The 14,830-nt window shown below is 39.2% G+C and overlaps 1 protein-coding gene across 7 annotated transcripts in view; it reads right to left on the reverse strand.

The window, feature by feature from the left end:
• Positions 1-1,802: 1,802 nt before the first annotated feature.
• RNF150 (ring finger protein 150) overlaps positions 1,803-14,830 on the reverse strand; it is a 353,094-nt gene continuing 340,066 nt past the window's right edge. For all 7 annotated transcript variants that reach the window (XM_047415998.1, XM_011532148.4, XM_017008475.2 and 4 more), the window contains one exon: positions 1,803-10,375. In XM_047415998.1, the coding sequence (XP_047271954.1) occupies positions 10,257-10,375 (119 nt within the window). In that variant the 3' untranslated portion in view covers positions 1,803-10,256. The remainder of the gene's footprint in view (positions 10,376-14,830) is intronic.

Here is a 14,830-nt window from a genome sequence, read left to right on the forward strand (position 1 = left end):
CTACTTAATTTTGTCAAAATCTGGGGTTGTAAATGTTCCATTCTCAAATGTGTGAATATGCTGCATTAAGTCTCAAAACAAAAGCCCACAAAGTGGAGTTTCTAGGTGGGATGGGGCCTCCGCCTTCAGGCACAGCATGATAGCAAGCCAGGCTGATGCCCAGTGAAGCCAGGCTGATGCCCTGGCATGCGTGTGACTCTGGGAAGTGCCCAGTGATCTCTCCCCAGGTCACACCCACCCCAGGTGAAGCAGGCCCCAGGCTAATACTGCTCACTGTGCATCACCTGACTTTCCCCTTGTCAACTAGGAGCAGGGACAAGAGAGGCAAGGGTCTGTGGAATATGCAAGATTTACAGCAAATGATGTCTGGCAGCTTTTTTTTTTTTTTTTAAAGTCTGAACACCAACATGTTCCACACAGTGGTCTCCAGTGTAATGTGGAAAAACATAACCCTTGATAAAATGGGGCTTTATTGTCAATCAGCTTCAGGAAAAGCTGAATTATAGAGTTAAATCAGTGACCTTACTGAAGACTTCTCAAAAGTTTTTAATAGCGGCCAGGCACAGTGGCTCACGCCTGTAATTCCAGCACTTTGGAAGGCCAAGGTGAGAGGATCAGTTGAGGCCAGGAATTAAAGACTAGCCTGGACAACAAAACGAGACCCTGTCTGTACCAAAACAAAACAAAACAAAACAAAACAAACAAAAAATTTATTAATAGCTAATATGAGTTGTATGAAGCCTTATCCCAACTTAATTGAACTTGGGAGCCTGCTGTAAATTCTAACATATCCCATCCCACAGAACACATTTCCTCATTTGGGGATCCCTGGTCTAGTGGAAAGATGATGGAAGTTGAAGTTGGGAGGGATGGTTTCCAGGTCCTAGGTAATAGCTTCATACCCACAGTGTCTGGGCAGATAAACATTGCAATAATGGAAGCATAAACAAAGTCTAAAGTGCCTTCTAATTTGGCATAGTCATGAATGTTCCCAGCAATCCCCTTAGAGTATCTTCCTGCCTACAAATTAAGCATAGACTGGCCCTGAGTAAAGCCTCCGGGCACTAATGTTTTCCTTATCTACAGCAGCTCCAGGAGGCCACAGCACTCAATACTGTTTGTGTTTTCTTTTTGCTAGCAAATTCTGTGAAACCCACAGCTCCTGCCTGGCCATGTCCAATCCTGGCTGCTCCTCAAGTGCATGTGTCAGGAGTCTCGGCTGGGCCAGGCACGGGGGGGCTAGGCCACAACCAAAGGCCTACCAGGTTCCAGTAGGTGAGGCCAATGAATAGAGGGCCATTCTCCTTTCCTGCCTTCCTTTTCCACCTTCCCAGGCCAGCAGGCTCCATCTTTTAAATTTTCTTCATATTCCCTTGCGAATCCCAAGGAATTGCTATTTAAAATCTTTTAGAAATATACTAGCAAATATAAAGAAGAAATCTGTCTGCCCCAGCCCATCTGGCAGACCCCATGGTATAACTCTGCCTAGTATAAACTTGCCTGAGATAGTCCATAAGCATAGTGCTCAGTTCTTGCCAGACTACACCTCAAGCTCATTTCACAGCCATTCTTCTTCAGAATTGCTAAAATCTCTTAATTCCCTTAGAACAGCAGAGCTAAGAGAAGGTTGGTGCCTGCCACTTGACTTACCTGAGAAAAATAAGGAAGCTATTATTATCCTTGGTCTTTGGACATAATTGTGATTTAACAATAAATATGATGTTTTGAAATCCATAGCACCACCTCTGCAACTCAGGGATAGGCAACAAAGTCAGGGAATACAGATGACACAGACACAAGCATCTGGTTCCATTTTATTAAAAAACAAAACCAAAAGAAATTTTGCAGTGAAATTTCCTGGAATTCACAACCCTCATTTAAAAATCCTTATAGTTGCAATATTTTTTTTTTAGCCAGTACGTAAGAACACGATTGCACTTATTTACATGATAGTCTTCTATATAACAAAAATAACCATGTTGTAATGACTGTTTCCAACTATCACCCTTGTTTCATCACTAGCCCATTATGAGACAAGTTGATTACGCTCTCCAAGTACAAAGAGAATAGAATAAAGCAAAATAAAAGTCTGTGTCTCCTAATAGAAGACAAATTCCTTTAAAGACAGTTACTTTTTTTTTTTTTTCAATTTCTTTGTATTTCAAGAGGGATATAAAGTGCTCTGAAAGGAGTAGGGTAGGTGCCTGAGGTGGGGAAGAAGGAAAGAAATTTATACAGAAAAAATTTAAAAAACTACACTGCCTTAACTAATCATCTCAATATGCACACAACTTTGTACAGAAGATTAGTTTTGGGTAAAAACGCTACATAATTCACTAGTACTTATTTCGGCAATTAAGAACTGAAGTCCAAATGAAAGACTCCCCATGCAAATGTCATCAGGAGTGACTTTTTTGTGATTTTGGGTCAGATGCTATATAAATCAAGGAAGCTCAGTCACACAGTCTGAATATGGAGAGGATAGACAATGCCGAGATGGAACCATCATCTACTACCTGCAGACTAGCCAGAAAGACCTTGTGGGGAAGCTAAGTAGACTTTACCCCAACATCAATCATTTTACAACAAAAGCATTTTGTTGCAAGCATTTGTTTACAATAAAAGTAATTTGTGTTAGGATGGAAAAAAAGCCATTGGAATTTCCTCTTGCTAGTAGGGAGGAAGATTGATTTATGATGTCATGTCTGATTATTTATAATTGTAAATTCATTATTTGCAGATTTTTTTCTAGTGGGAAATAATATGCTGTACAAAGTGGTTAAAATAAGTTATTTCTTTTTCACATTTTTGCAACTGGCAATTGCTGGTTATTGTCTGCAGTCTACAAAACTGAGTATCACATATGTACTGCTTGAGAGTTTCCCCTGGAAACCAGAATAATCATCCTCCCAGCTCATGAACATTTTAAAGAACAATACCCATTTTTTTTTCCAGAAAATGGATGGAATGTAACTTTTCACAAATACAAAATTATTTCATTTTCTAAATGTAAGGGACACCCCTCTATAAAAATAACAGTCCCTCCCCACTCCCACCCCTACATCTCCTTCTAATTATAAAATGGTAGAACCATCTCAGATTACTAATGTGAAAGCAGGAAGTAAATATATTATGTACATGTACAAAACACATCAGTATTTCACACCATTTACATTCATATGAAGTCTTTTTATTGATCTTCCTTTGCAATTTCACAAGAATAAAGTTGAGATAACTTACAAAAACAAGCAGTCCCTTGCTTATAACTGCACAAACATTCTAGCCAGAGGCATCTTCTTTGCAAACAGAGCAACATTATCCTTCAACATTTTGCAGAAGTAAGGGCTGCTGACAGTGAGAAGATCTGTGGGGTCTCCTTCAGCTTTTTAGAGTTTGTGACACTCTTTCCTCATTTGATAAATGTAGACCAAATTCTCAACTACCGAAGAAATTGTATGATGAAAGGCAAGTAACTGGTTGTTGAATTCATGACCCAAGTCAAATTAATCTGCTGCAAGAATAATTGCGATTACTCCAGCAGAGGGCACTCTGCTCCTTGCAATAACATCCTACTGAACAGTAAGTACCATGGATGCCAACACAAATTCAGACCGAAAAGTCCATGTATGTGTTAGTTCTTCAACTGCTCTACTATACCCATTAGTACAGGCAACAGTTTTGTATCTTCTTCGAAAGAGCAGGATATACTATATTTAGCTAGCTCTTATACATGAAAATTCTTTGGCTATTTAAAATCTTCACATTCTCAAAGAGAACAATGTTCTGAGTTCAGTAAAGCGCTAGATTTGTTGGAAAGTTTTGAAGGAAAAGGGGACTAAACACTAGACTTTAAAGATGGTGTGGTACTAAGGCCACAATTCATTTTTTAGATTTCGGGATTTAGTAAGGTCAATCAACAGTCTGCAACAGAAAACCCCATAAGGTTTAATGGTTTCATTCAACCATGCAACCCACCTTCGCTTTTATTTATGAGAACATTGGGAGAAAATTCAACTAGTCAATGGAAGAAACATGTGTTCATTTGGATGGTGATCAGTCTTTGGTTTATATAGCACACATGGTCCCCACATTACCCTGCTTCTCCAAGCCTGTCACTTCACTAAGGATAACAGACCACAGATATTCTGCCAAGCAATGACTTTGGGTAATTGAGATTAAGCGACCTTCTCTAAGGATTTTTCTCCCTCACTGTGTTCAGACATTGCAGACCTCTTAATAGACGTGTATATTTTTGTCTTATCATCAGCAAATATTTATCAGGTGGCCACAGAGCAAATGGCTCTGTATTAAGTGCAAACGTCAGTGGTAGCACAGAATTAGAAGATCTTTGATCACTGAAATTCCTGAAAAAGCCACGTGATTATGAAGCACTCAAGGCAGGTGAAGAGAGATGTGACTGACCTTAGCAGGTTCTTGTAGAACAAGCAGGATTGCAATCAAATTGCTCGATATTAAGGGGCCACGTCTAGCATCTGGACTTGCTTCATTAGTTCTGGGATGATAACTTGGTGTCAATAAAAGGTGTAGAGTGGAAGAGTGTGGCTATTGATCTGTGGGTCTTTAAAAATTAATGTTCCTATTACACAGGGTCTGGGGTTGAGTGAGGACAAAAGGAGGGAAAAGGAAGAGCTAAGGGATGATGAGAAACTCATATTAGCTTCTTAGAATTAATTTATTTTTCAGGCAATCCAGACCTTCTTTGCAATCATGAGTATTTTAACTCATGAGTATTTAATTCCTTAAAAATACAAACTCCCCAAAACCCAGGTCAGCTCTAAACCTAGGGATGAGCATTTACTTGGGGACAGCACGCACATTTTGTTAAGCACAGAAGCTTTCCAGCCCTGCTTTGACCAGCTCCCTGATCAGAGATCCTGCCATCCTCTTTTCTTACTTCCTGCAGGGTGACACTCCCATCCCATTTTAACTGCCAACATCAAACGTATTCATCCATGCAATGGCATGGATGAAGGACCTCGGTGGCCAAGAGCACTGCATGAAGAACCATGCATCCCCATCTTAAGAGGGTAGTCTCTTCGTGTCTCTTTGTCAGTCTTCAGGAATTAGTGGCCCTCAGATCACTTACGATGAGCAAGCACTTGTGCTAAGTAGTTAGGAAGAATGGGCATTCCATCAGGTACAGTATACAAGTTTTTCCAAGAAATCCTAACCCTGGGGGCTCAGGCGAATGAGGAGGGTCAAATGCTGAGGGTGGGAGAAAGCAGATCTAGACAGCATTCTGGAATTGTTGCTTTGCCATTATTTGCCCAGAAAACATTTATGGCAAGGAAGCCTGAAAACATGGCAATGGTTGTAAGATGGGTTGCGATACAACTGGTGATGTGAGAAGTGAAAATGAAACTGACTCCTTTAGGGAGGACATTGGTTTATAGTAAACAGGTTTGCCTCATCAGAAGTGAATATGGATATTGCTACACAATAAAAAGAGGAAAAACACCAACAACAGTAACAATGGTAATCACAATAATGATAATGACTCTGTAGGTATAGAACCTCCAGTTTTTTGTGTTCTGAAGGTTATTTCAGAGTTTCTTGCAAGAGAGAAAACAAATCAGAAAAAAAGGGGAAGAGAGAAGATGGGAAAATAATTTATGTATGGGTATACAAAGTAAGATATAGGCAGTCAGAGAAAAACAGATACAGACAGAAAAGGAAAAGAAACTTAGAGAAGATATAAAAATGCTACTGGAAATTGCCTCTGTGGCCTTAGTACCAGAAAAGACTGGGCTCTCGCTCCACAGAGGGAGTGACTCCATAGCCCAGATTTTTTGAAAAGTTTTGATTTAAGGATTTTTTTTTAAGTCAGGGTGATACATTCAATGGATAACTAAATGTCATTTAATTTTTTATGCTCTGCAAAAATATCCATCTAAACAAAACTCATAAATAAGAAAGAATCCTATGTTAGATCACTGGCATTGATTTGGTTTTGAGAGTATGGTAGCCTCAGGGATGTCAGGGCAGTAACTGAAATGGCCACTGGGCATGGTGAGCTTTGAAATGACCAAACCCAGATCTATGAATTTCCAGGATATTTCACCAGGATGAAGGAAATGTTAAAAACAAGAAAACAAAACAAAACAAAACAAAATGAACATTTTTGGACAGAGCTTTGCCTCCATGATTCTGATCATTACCATGTGATGTCAAAAATGGGTAGGTACCTTTGCCGCTTTTAATTTTCTGCCTTCTCCAGACTCTACCTCTCCCTGTGTAGATGACCAGAGTTGACACTGCAGGGGATATCTAACCCTAGAGATTAAGTCAATGTTCAAAAGCTGTATTCATAGTCAGGGCTCAGCTCTTCCAAAGGGACTAGCCACATAGGAGGTAGCAGTTCCTAAAGGTGACCCTAAATTATTTTGAGTGAATGCAAATGCTCCTTTTCTTCCCCATAGCATTGGGGTGGCAGGTGGATGCTGACTTGGAGTAAAATGCTGGCTGTTGGAGGTGGTCATAATTCACCAAGTAGAGACCGGATGATCACAGGCCCCCAAAGATTCTTTTTCAAGAAGGCCACATAAAGTCTTGCATTTCTCATTCTTTCCTCCCAAGTTCGTGAGTTTTCACTACAGCTGTGGGACTGGGGGACACTGGGAAAGGACTTTCACCAACCATGAACAAGAAGAAGGGGTTGAGGTAAAGTTGGGTGATTTCAGTCTGGAGTTCTCTTTGGCTCCTAAGTGCCACATATCAGTCCGAGGGTTTGCCATAGAAGTGAGGGGTATAATTTTGTTTCAGCACCAAATCAGCATGGTTTGTGTGAGTTTTAAGTAACAACTGGTCAGAGGAGTAACAACAAATGGTCATGGACATCAATGATATGGTTAGAAAGTTCAAGCAGAAATTTTAAAAAGGGTGCCTGAATCTTTATTCACTACAAAATAAATGGACCTCTGGGCCTCTCATTAGGCGACTTGGGTGGTGTCCAGTTCTCCCTGGAGGTAATTAAGCTTTTAACCTTCTTTTCTTTTGTAAGGGTCGGGGGATCTTGTGAGAATACTGGAGGAACTCTAGACCTGCATTGTCCAATTGGCAGCCACTAGCCACATGTGACTATCCAAATTGAGAGGTGCTGTGAGTGTAAAAGACACAATGGATTTAGAAGACTTAGTACACAAAAGCATGTAAAACATGTCATTAATTTACATTAGTGACATGTTGAAACAATATTAGGTTAAAGTACATGATTAAAATTATCTTTACCTGTTTCTTTTTACACTTTAAAATGTGGCTAGTAGAAAATTTAAAATTATGTCTGTGACTTGCATTACGTTTCTGTTGGACAGTGCTAGTCTAGACTCTTGCTATAGAAAAATGCACATCTGCAAATACACATACAGTCTGCATTTGCTTCTAGAGGGTACACACACCCTCTGACACTCATCTGTAGACTACCAGGTCTCCAGGTCAGTCTCTTCTTTGGGGGAGGTAAAGAAGGCTATAAGGAAGGGCTGTTCCCCTTTCTTCTGAAAGAGAAACTTTCTGGTTAAGCTTTTTTTTTTTCTTTTTTTTTTTTTTTTTAAACTATCAAAGCTACAGGAAAATCCTCCAGAAACAAACTTTGGTAAGTAGTGAATGGCAAAGGCTCAGGGGGTTTGCAGCAGGACCTCCTTGGGGTCAGATCTGCCAGCCTCGGGTTGGCCTTTCAGACCCCTCATCGTCTATGAGGCATCCTGTAAGTGCAGCTGTGGCCAGGGCTTGCATATGCAATCAATTCCTGATTCACCTAGTTCTTGGCAGGAAGAGAAAATACTCGTTAATCAGAGGACTAAACAATCCAAAGCGCATTCTCTCTCTGGGAATGGAATATAATTTATATTTCTGTTGCTATTGAATTATCCTTCTAATTCCACTGGACTAAACTTAATACCAGTAATACTAAAATTTGTTTTGGGCAAAGCCGACTGAAGGAGGAGTCAGTGGCGCAAGCCTATGCTGACTGTGAAAAATAAACACCTCTGAGATCAAGAATCCCACAGTGAGAGCTAGGATTTGAAGGTATCCAGAGATTGCAAACTCTGTGACTAACAGCAATTTTTAAACAAGGCAAAACAAACCAACTCCTACTTGGACTTAAAACTTCAATCATTTAGATTTTCATTCTCAGCACCATAGTTGTGCCAAGTCTCAAAGGCTGTTATTACATGATACATGTCAAGTAACTCTACCTCCCCAAGCTACGAAGCCTGATTGCCACAAGTCATAGCTATCTGCAAAAATGGATCCTGCCTCTGAAAGACTCATCTGTGGTCCCACAGCCAGAGGAGCTTGGGGACTCATGTTATTAAACCCTTCACATTATAGATGAAGAAGCCGAGGCTTAGTAAAGCGTGTGGTTCATCTAGGATTCTCGATTCAGAGCTCTCTTCATTCCTCCCTGCCTCTTTTCCCACACATAGAGAGTGGATTTCATTACAGGAAGCATTGGACTCCTAGGGAGATGCAACCTTTCTGAGGGTAATAATCATCTGCCTTGCCTTACTGTCTACTTACAAACCATCAAATAGGAAATTGGTAAAGGTGGTGAAAAAGGAGCAGCTAGTATTCTCCGTTGACCTGCACACCATGTTTCAGCAGGCGGCAAGGATTTACAGCAGAACCAAACTCTTTTTGAATGAGTATTAGTCTAATGAGGTGGAAAAGTCCCCATCAATACATAAAAACAACTCAGTGAGAAAAGCTTTCTTTCCTGGTTAATCCAAGCCGCAGCCTGGTGTTTGCCAGCTGTGTAGAGATAAGGTGATCCGTCTGATTGTTCAGAGACGCTATCAATGACCTTAGTCATCTCTGTATCTGGATAGTCTGAATATATTACAAAATTGCCCACTGAAAAAATAGCACATTTCTGTCATAGTTACAAAAGATGAATAAAAACAGAAACAGTTTAAAAACACCATTGGGTTTCAGTATTTACTTGATACCTCTTTTCCTTTCCCTCTTACTTTGTCTATTTCAGTCAGGATAAACGATCTAGCAAATTCTCATGCTGCATACTTTTTGGTTCAAATGATACAGCAAATCACACCTCATTCCTCACTTGGTATCTGGACACACTCAGGGAGCCCTGGGAAGCAATCTGCTAGGGATTCACCTAAATCCTCCCACATGGTCTGGTGAGATTCAACAGAAGTGTGTCGAAATTAAGGTAAAAGCTAGGTGCTACTGCAGCCCCCACTATGTTTGCCATTGGACTTAAAAATGATTGGCTTTTCTCTAAAGCCTCCATTTTTTACAGAACCCACTTACAGAGGTAAGAAAAAAACTGTTCTAGCCCAGGGGAAACCAATGCAACTGGCATTTTGTTTTCAATAGGAAGAAAATGTGGTATCTGGTTTTAAAACCAGCCCTACAACCACCAAAGACTGGATGCCTTGGAGGGGACTTCTGAGTTCAGAATTTCAGCCAAAGACTGTAAGACCCAGAAGAATGAAACGGCTTCCCTAGAGCTCCCTTCTCATGTCACGTGGGCCCTTAATCAAGCCCGGCAAGTGGAAGCAAGTGTGATGTGGCTTAAAATAACCAGCAGTGGCCTCAGCAGATTTAGGGCTTAGTGTTGGGGTCTCTGGCAGCTGGGGTTTTTAAAGGCCCACTTAGAAGAACTTAGATTCTTAATGAAAGCTGGCCTTAGTCCATTTCAGGGTGCTGAGGCACTTCTCAAAGCCATGCACACTTCATGCTGGGAGGTCAAGACCACATATCTCAGAGATGGAATACAAACTGATCATAGCAGGAACTGGTGCTTCTAAACAGAAACCTATACAAAAGCTGGAGTGCATCAAAGGAAAAACAAAGGAATAGATGGAAAGTAAACTACAAATAATCTTTAAAAAAATTGCCAAAGAAATCAAACAACATGCCAAAAACAAGAATGATGAGACATGGAAAGAATTGAAATGAAACTAAGAAATCCTAAAGGTGGCCTTTCAGTCTCTGTTTTAGGAGCTTCTGAAGTGTATGTCTACATGGACATAGGAGTGGAAATCAGCTTTCAACTTCCCAGCTGCCAAGGCCACAGACTGCCATACCGATGGAGAAACTGCATCCTGATTGACAAGACTTTGGATATTGCTTTTCGTCAGCATTCTTGAACGGAGCGCCCTGGAGTTGCCAAGGTGATCTGGAGGTGTGTGTGTGCCTGGTCCAAGTCTTGGAGCACTCTTCCCTTCCTTTCCCTTGGGTCCTACTATCTCTTTGCTTCTGGATTTGTCGTTTCAAGATTTCACTTCTTCACAGTCCTGGTCAGTGGAAAGTTCTACATCAGACAGTCCAACCTCCATTGCCATGATCAAGGAAATGTCAGAATCACTGCTTACAGCTGGCTCCTGCTCACCTGGGAGGAGAAAGCAAAGTTCACAGTGAACACCGAGCTATGTCTTTGCATGCTGCTTATTTCAGTACAATTGCTTGTAATAACATTTCTTTAAAGGCCAAGAGAAGGTATTAGAAAAATTGGGTATTCTGTAAAAACTCTAGTTAAAGCCTCATCTCACATGGGCCAAAAAGTTAAATGCAAACAAAAGAAACTAGAATAATAAAATATATCATCTAAGGATATGTCTTAGTAGGAAAATATATATCTACCGTAAGTTGGGCAAGAAATTCTATTTAGAAAAGTAATTGGGTAATTTACAGAAGAAAAGATTGTTACATATGCGTAACATTTAAAATGTTACACACATGTAAAATAAAATCAAAAGGCATATCAAACTCAGGAATTTGCAAAAAATTTCACAAAGGTTTCTATTCTTAACATATAGAAAGCTTTTAAATCAATAAGAAAAACAGTTCAATAGAAAAATGGACAAAGGTTACCATTACACAATTCACGGAAGAGTGTAATATAAATGACCAATAAATATAAGGTAAAAATAAGATATCCTTTTTTGTCTATGTAATCTTCACTCTTTAAAAAAGACAAGATAATATTACAGTTAAGGGTACACTGAGGTAGGTAGGTACATGATACATTGCATATAGAACTGTAAAATTTTCACTCAGTAATTTCATTTCCAGGATGTATTATAGAGAAATAACTGGAGATGCAAAACTATTCAATTAAGCATGATTTACAGTAGCAAAACATTGCAAGTAACTTAAAGTCCAACAATAGAGAACATCTGAATAAACCTATTACTTCTAAAGGACAATGTTGTTATAACCATTAAAATGATGTTTTCAAAGAATTTGTAGTTACATGAGAAGACGTTCACAGTATACTGTTAAGTGAAAACAGAAATATTTAAAGCTTTGTATGCAATGGGGTCAACAGAGAAAGTTAAATGGAAGCAAAGAAACCAAAAATGCTAACGAGAGTCATCTCTAGTGTTGGGATTTATATTCATTTTCTGTTAACATTTTTTTTCAGTTCTCCCAAATACTCTTCAATGAACATACATCACTTACTCATTCAAGACATTATCTACCGTGTCCCTACTGCACACTAAGGATTATGCTAGAGGCTATGGATATAGGGGAGATTAAGACAATCCCTATCCTGAAGGAGCTCATTGTCTGGTGGGCAGGTTGACCATTTACTAGGCAATTACAACACAGTGAGATAAGCACCAGGATGGAAGATGTACCAGGTATTACAGGAGCAGGTAAGAGGGCTATGTAACCATATACTGGGTGCAATGTCTAAACTGAGTCCTAAAGGATAATCTGTATTATAGCCAGATGAATAAGAAGAAATAATCCTTTAAGCAACAGCATGTACAGGTGGCTGGAGGTGATAGGGAGCTGTGGGCAGGCAGATATCAGAGGGTTTTTAATTTGACTGGAATGCAGAGTCAAGCTGGGGAATATGGACAGAGGAGGCCAGAGAGCTGAGCTGCATAAAGGCAGCTTTCAACCCAAAAGGTCTTGTACTTTCTCTTACTTTGCAGAAGAAATATGCAATTAAAAAAACCAACAAAAATGTATAAGTACTAAAGAATAATAATGGTTATAATACTTTTGTTCTGATAATCGCTAATGTAATTTTTTCATGATGTGGCACAGTTAAGAAAAATACCTGAGTTTCATGAAGGACAGTGAATTCCTAAGATGTTTTCAAGGAGACAAATAAGAGAACAAACAAAGAATTATGGCCTGAAAAATCAGTTTTATAGAAATGGGGTATTTCACAGGGAAATATCCAACCTGAAGACTTAGCTCTTATCCGTTTCCTAGATCCACAATTGCAGGAAGTTCATAGCAATGTAACAGATCAATGGTTAAATGAAAACCCTGGAAGCAGCTCTATAAAGATACAAGTCTTTGGTATTTAAAAACAGTGGCATTCAACAAATAGTCAAGAAAACTAGTCATTTAGAAAAAAGTGAAACTGGATCTGTGCCTCACACTTCACTACAAAATACATTCTAAGCTTGCTATATATGATCTCCCATCTTCATTTTGTGCGTGTATGTGTGTGTGTGTGTGTGTGTGTGTGTGCACTTCCTTTTCATTTATCTTCTCCAGAGCCACCTGGTGCCTTTGATCCCTGACCTTCGGGAAATTCTCAAGTGCAAATTACGGTGGTTCTCCCTTTCCCCATGCCTGATTTGTGCTTGTTTTCTCAGCAGGGTCGTGGCGTGCTGTTGTGCAGGGTGTGTACAGCACCACTCCACAGCACAGCTTCACTCTGGAGTCTGAGTGAGCAGTGGCTCCTGAAGTGGGGCAGGACACAACCCACACAGCCAGATGCAGGGGCTTGCTGTGTCTCTAGTCTACTAAGTCATGGACCATTCATCTGTTTTTTGCAGTTGCCTAAATTTTGTTATTGTCTCTTCTTGCATTTTCCCTGTCCATGTCGTGCTCTGTCTTTAAAAAAAAAATCCCTTCACTGTGGTTTTTGTGGAATTTCAGGAGAGACTGGGAGTGGCTTCATATGGCAGGTCCACTCTTTTTACTCAGTGCTCTCCTTAAACATCATTTTTACAATAAGAATTCTCTCTCTCTCTCTCTCTCTCTATATATATATATATGTATACACACACACACACACACTTTATACTTATGAGAACTGGGAATCTATCTGACTTGATACTATATTCTAGCATCTGCTATTAGTAACTGCATGTGTTATTTTGTAAAAATTGTTTTTCTCCTTTAGGGCTAAAGTTTAATTGCCTAGAAAATGAGAATTTGGACTGGATGCATTAGAGTCCTTTCCAGTTGTTGTTTATGCATGTTTATGTGTTGATGCCAATCTAGTACAGGGCCTCCTACATAGTGGGTTCCTGATGAATAATTATTAGATAGAATGACCACTGAGAAACAAAGTTGCCTTTTTTACAATTCTTCAAATTGTTTTTATTTTTGCAATTTTTTTCTTAATAAAAAATGCCTGCTTTTGTATATTTAGTACAAGTATACACGAATGGGAGAATTCCCACTTGGAGGTGTAATGAAAGCTGAAATCTTATTCCTGGAGATAAAAAATGAGAGCTGTACTTTATAGGGAATTAAATTTCCACTTCTTTTCTTGCAGTGGCCCATCAATCAACTCAGTTCACAGGAAGCCAAAATTTTCAGCTCACAATTAAACTGGAAGTCAACCAAAGAGCTCATAATGGAATGAATTTATGACTTTCATATGGGTCCAGCCAAAAAAAAAATAGCACAGATAAAGAGCTGACTTAGTTACAGTTCTATAGAGACAGAACTCACTGCTACCTACAGTGACAGCTTCTCAACTTCATTCTGGCTTTGCAGCCACCAGCCTCAGCAGATTCCATAGATTCATTCACACCTTGGTTTTTTCTAAATGGGAGTGTGTGAACTGAAAGAAAAAGGGGCCACAGGGACTGATGTAACTATGAGCTGCTGAATTCATGGTGCTACTTTGGAAATTAAGACTTTACTATACAGTGCAAGGCAAAGGTGAATTCAAATAAATGAAAATAGAGAAATTTACAAAAATGGTTCGGTTTTTATGATATAACATTGCACCAATATCATCTAATCATTTTCCATTTAAAAACTTGTTTTTAAAATAATCTGAGGATGTGAAATTATTCTAAGTATGTTCTATGTTTTTAATCAAACTTGGTTTGTTCCATAATTTTTAACAGTTTTTATAATTTAATCAAGACAGATGTTTTACTTTGAGGCTACAATAATACGAATGAAAACTTTGTCAGCAAACTATTTAGAAGGTTTTCTGTAGGTGGTACTAATTGGGGACTATAAGTAGCTATTAACAACATAAATGTCGACTGAATTTGCCTCCTTCTCTGCAAAAACTAACAAAAACTAATGTAAAAGTAATATTAGCCCTCATTTGATACAACCACTCTTTGATGTAGGTATTTTTATTCCAGTTTATAGATGAAAAATACTCTTAGTCCATTTGACATAGTAGGATCATATCTGTCTTCTTTTGGTTGTTACATATTGTAAAACATTGAGAGATTTAAACAGGAGGTAATCTGATTTGCCTAACATTTTAAGAGGTCACTCTTGCTGTTACAAGAAAAATATTGGCAGGACAATGGGCAGAAGGAATCCAGTTAGGAAACTATTACAGAACAGATGAAACATGGTGGCTTATTGTGGTGCTAAAGGTGGAGATAAGGGGACAAATCAAAGAATGATTTTTGGATGAAGGATCTACAGGAAATGATGGACTAGCCAAGGGCAGTAAAAGAGGAGAAAGTAGAGAAAAATTCCCATGTTTTTCGAGCAATACAGATGCCATTTATTGAGCCAGAGAAACTGGAGAAGAAGCAGGTGTTAGAACTACATCAAGAGTTCAGGTTTGCATATGCTATGTTTGAGATGCTCACAAGACATCCAAGGT

The sequence above is a fragment of the Homo sapiens genome, chromosome 4 (genome assembly GCF_000001405.40).
Source record: "Homo sapiens chromosome 4, GRCh38.p14 Primary Assembly".
NCBI classification, from domain to species: Eukaryota; Metazoa; Chordata; class Mammalia; order Primates; family Hominidae; genus Homo; species Homo sapiens.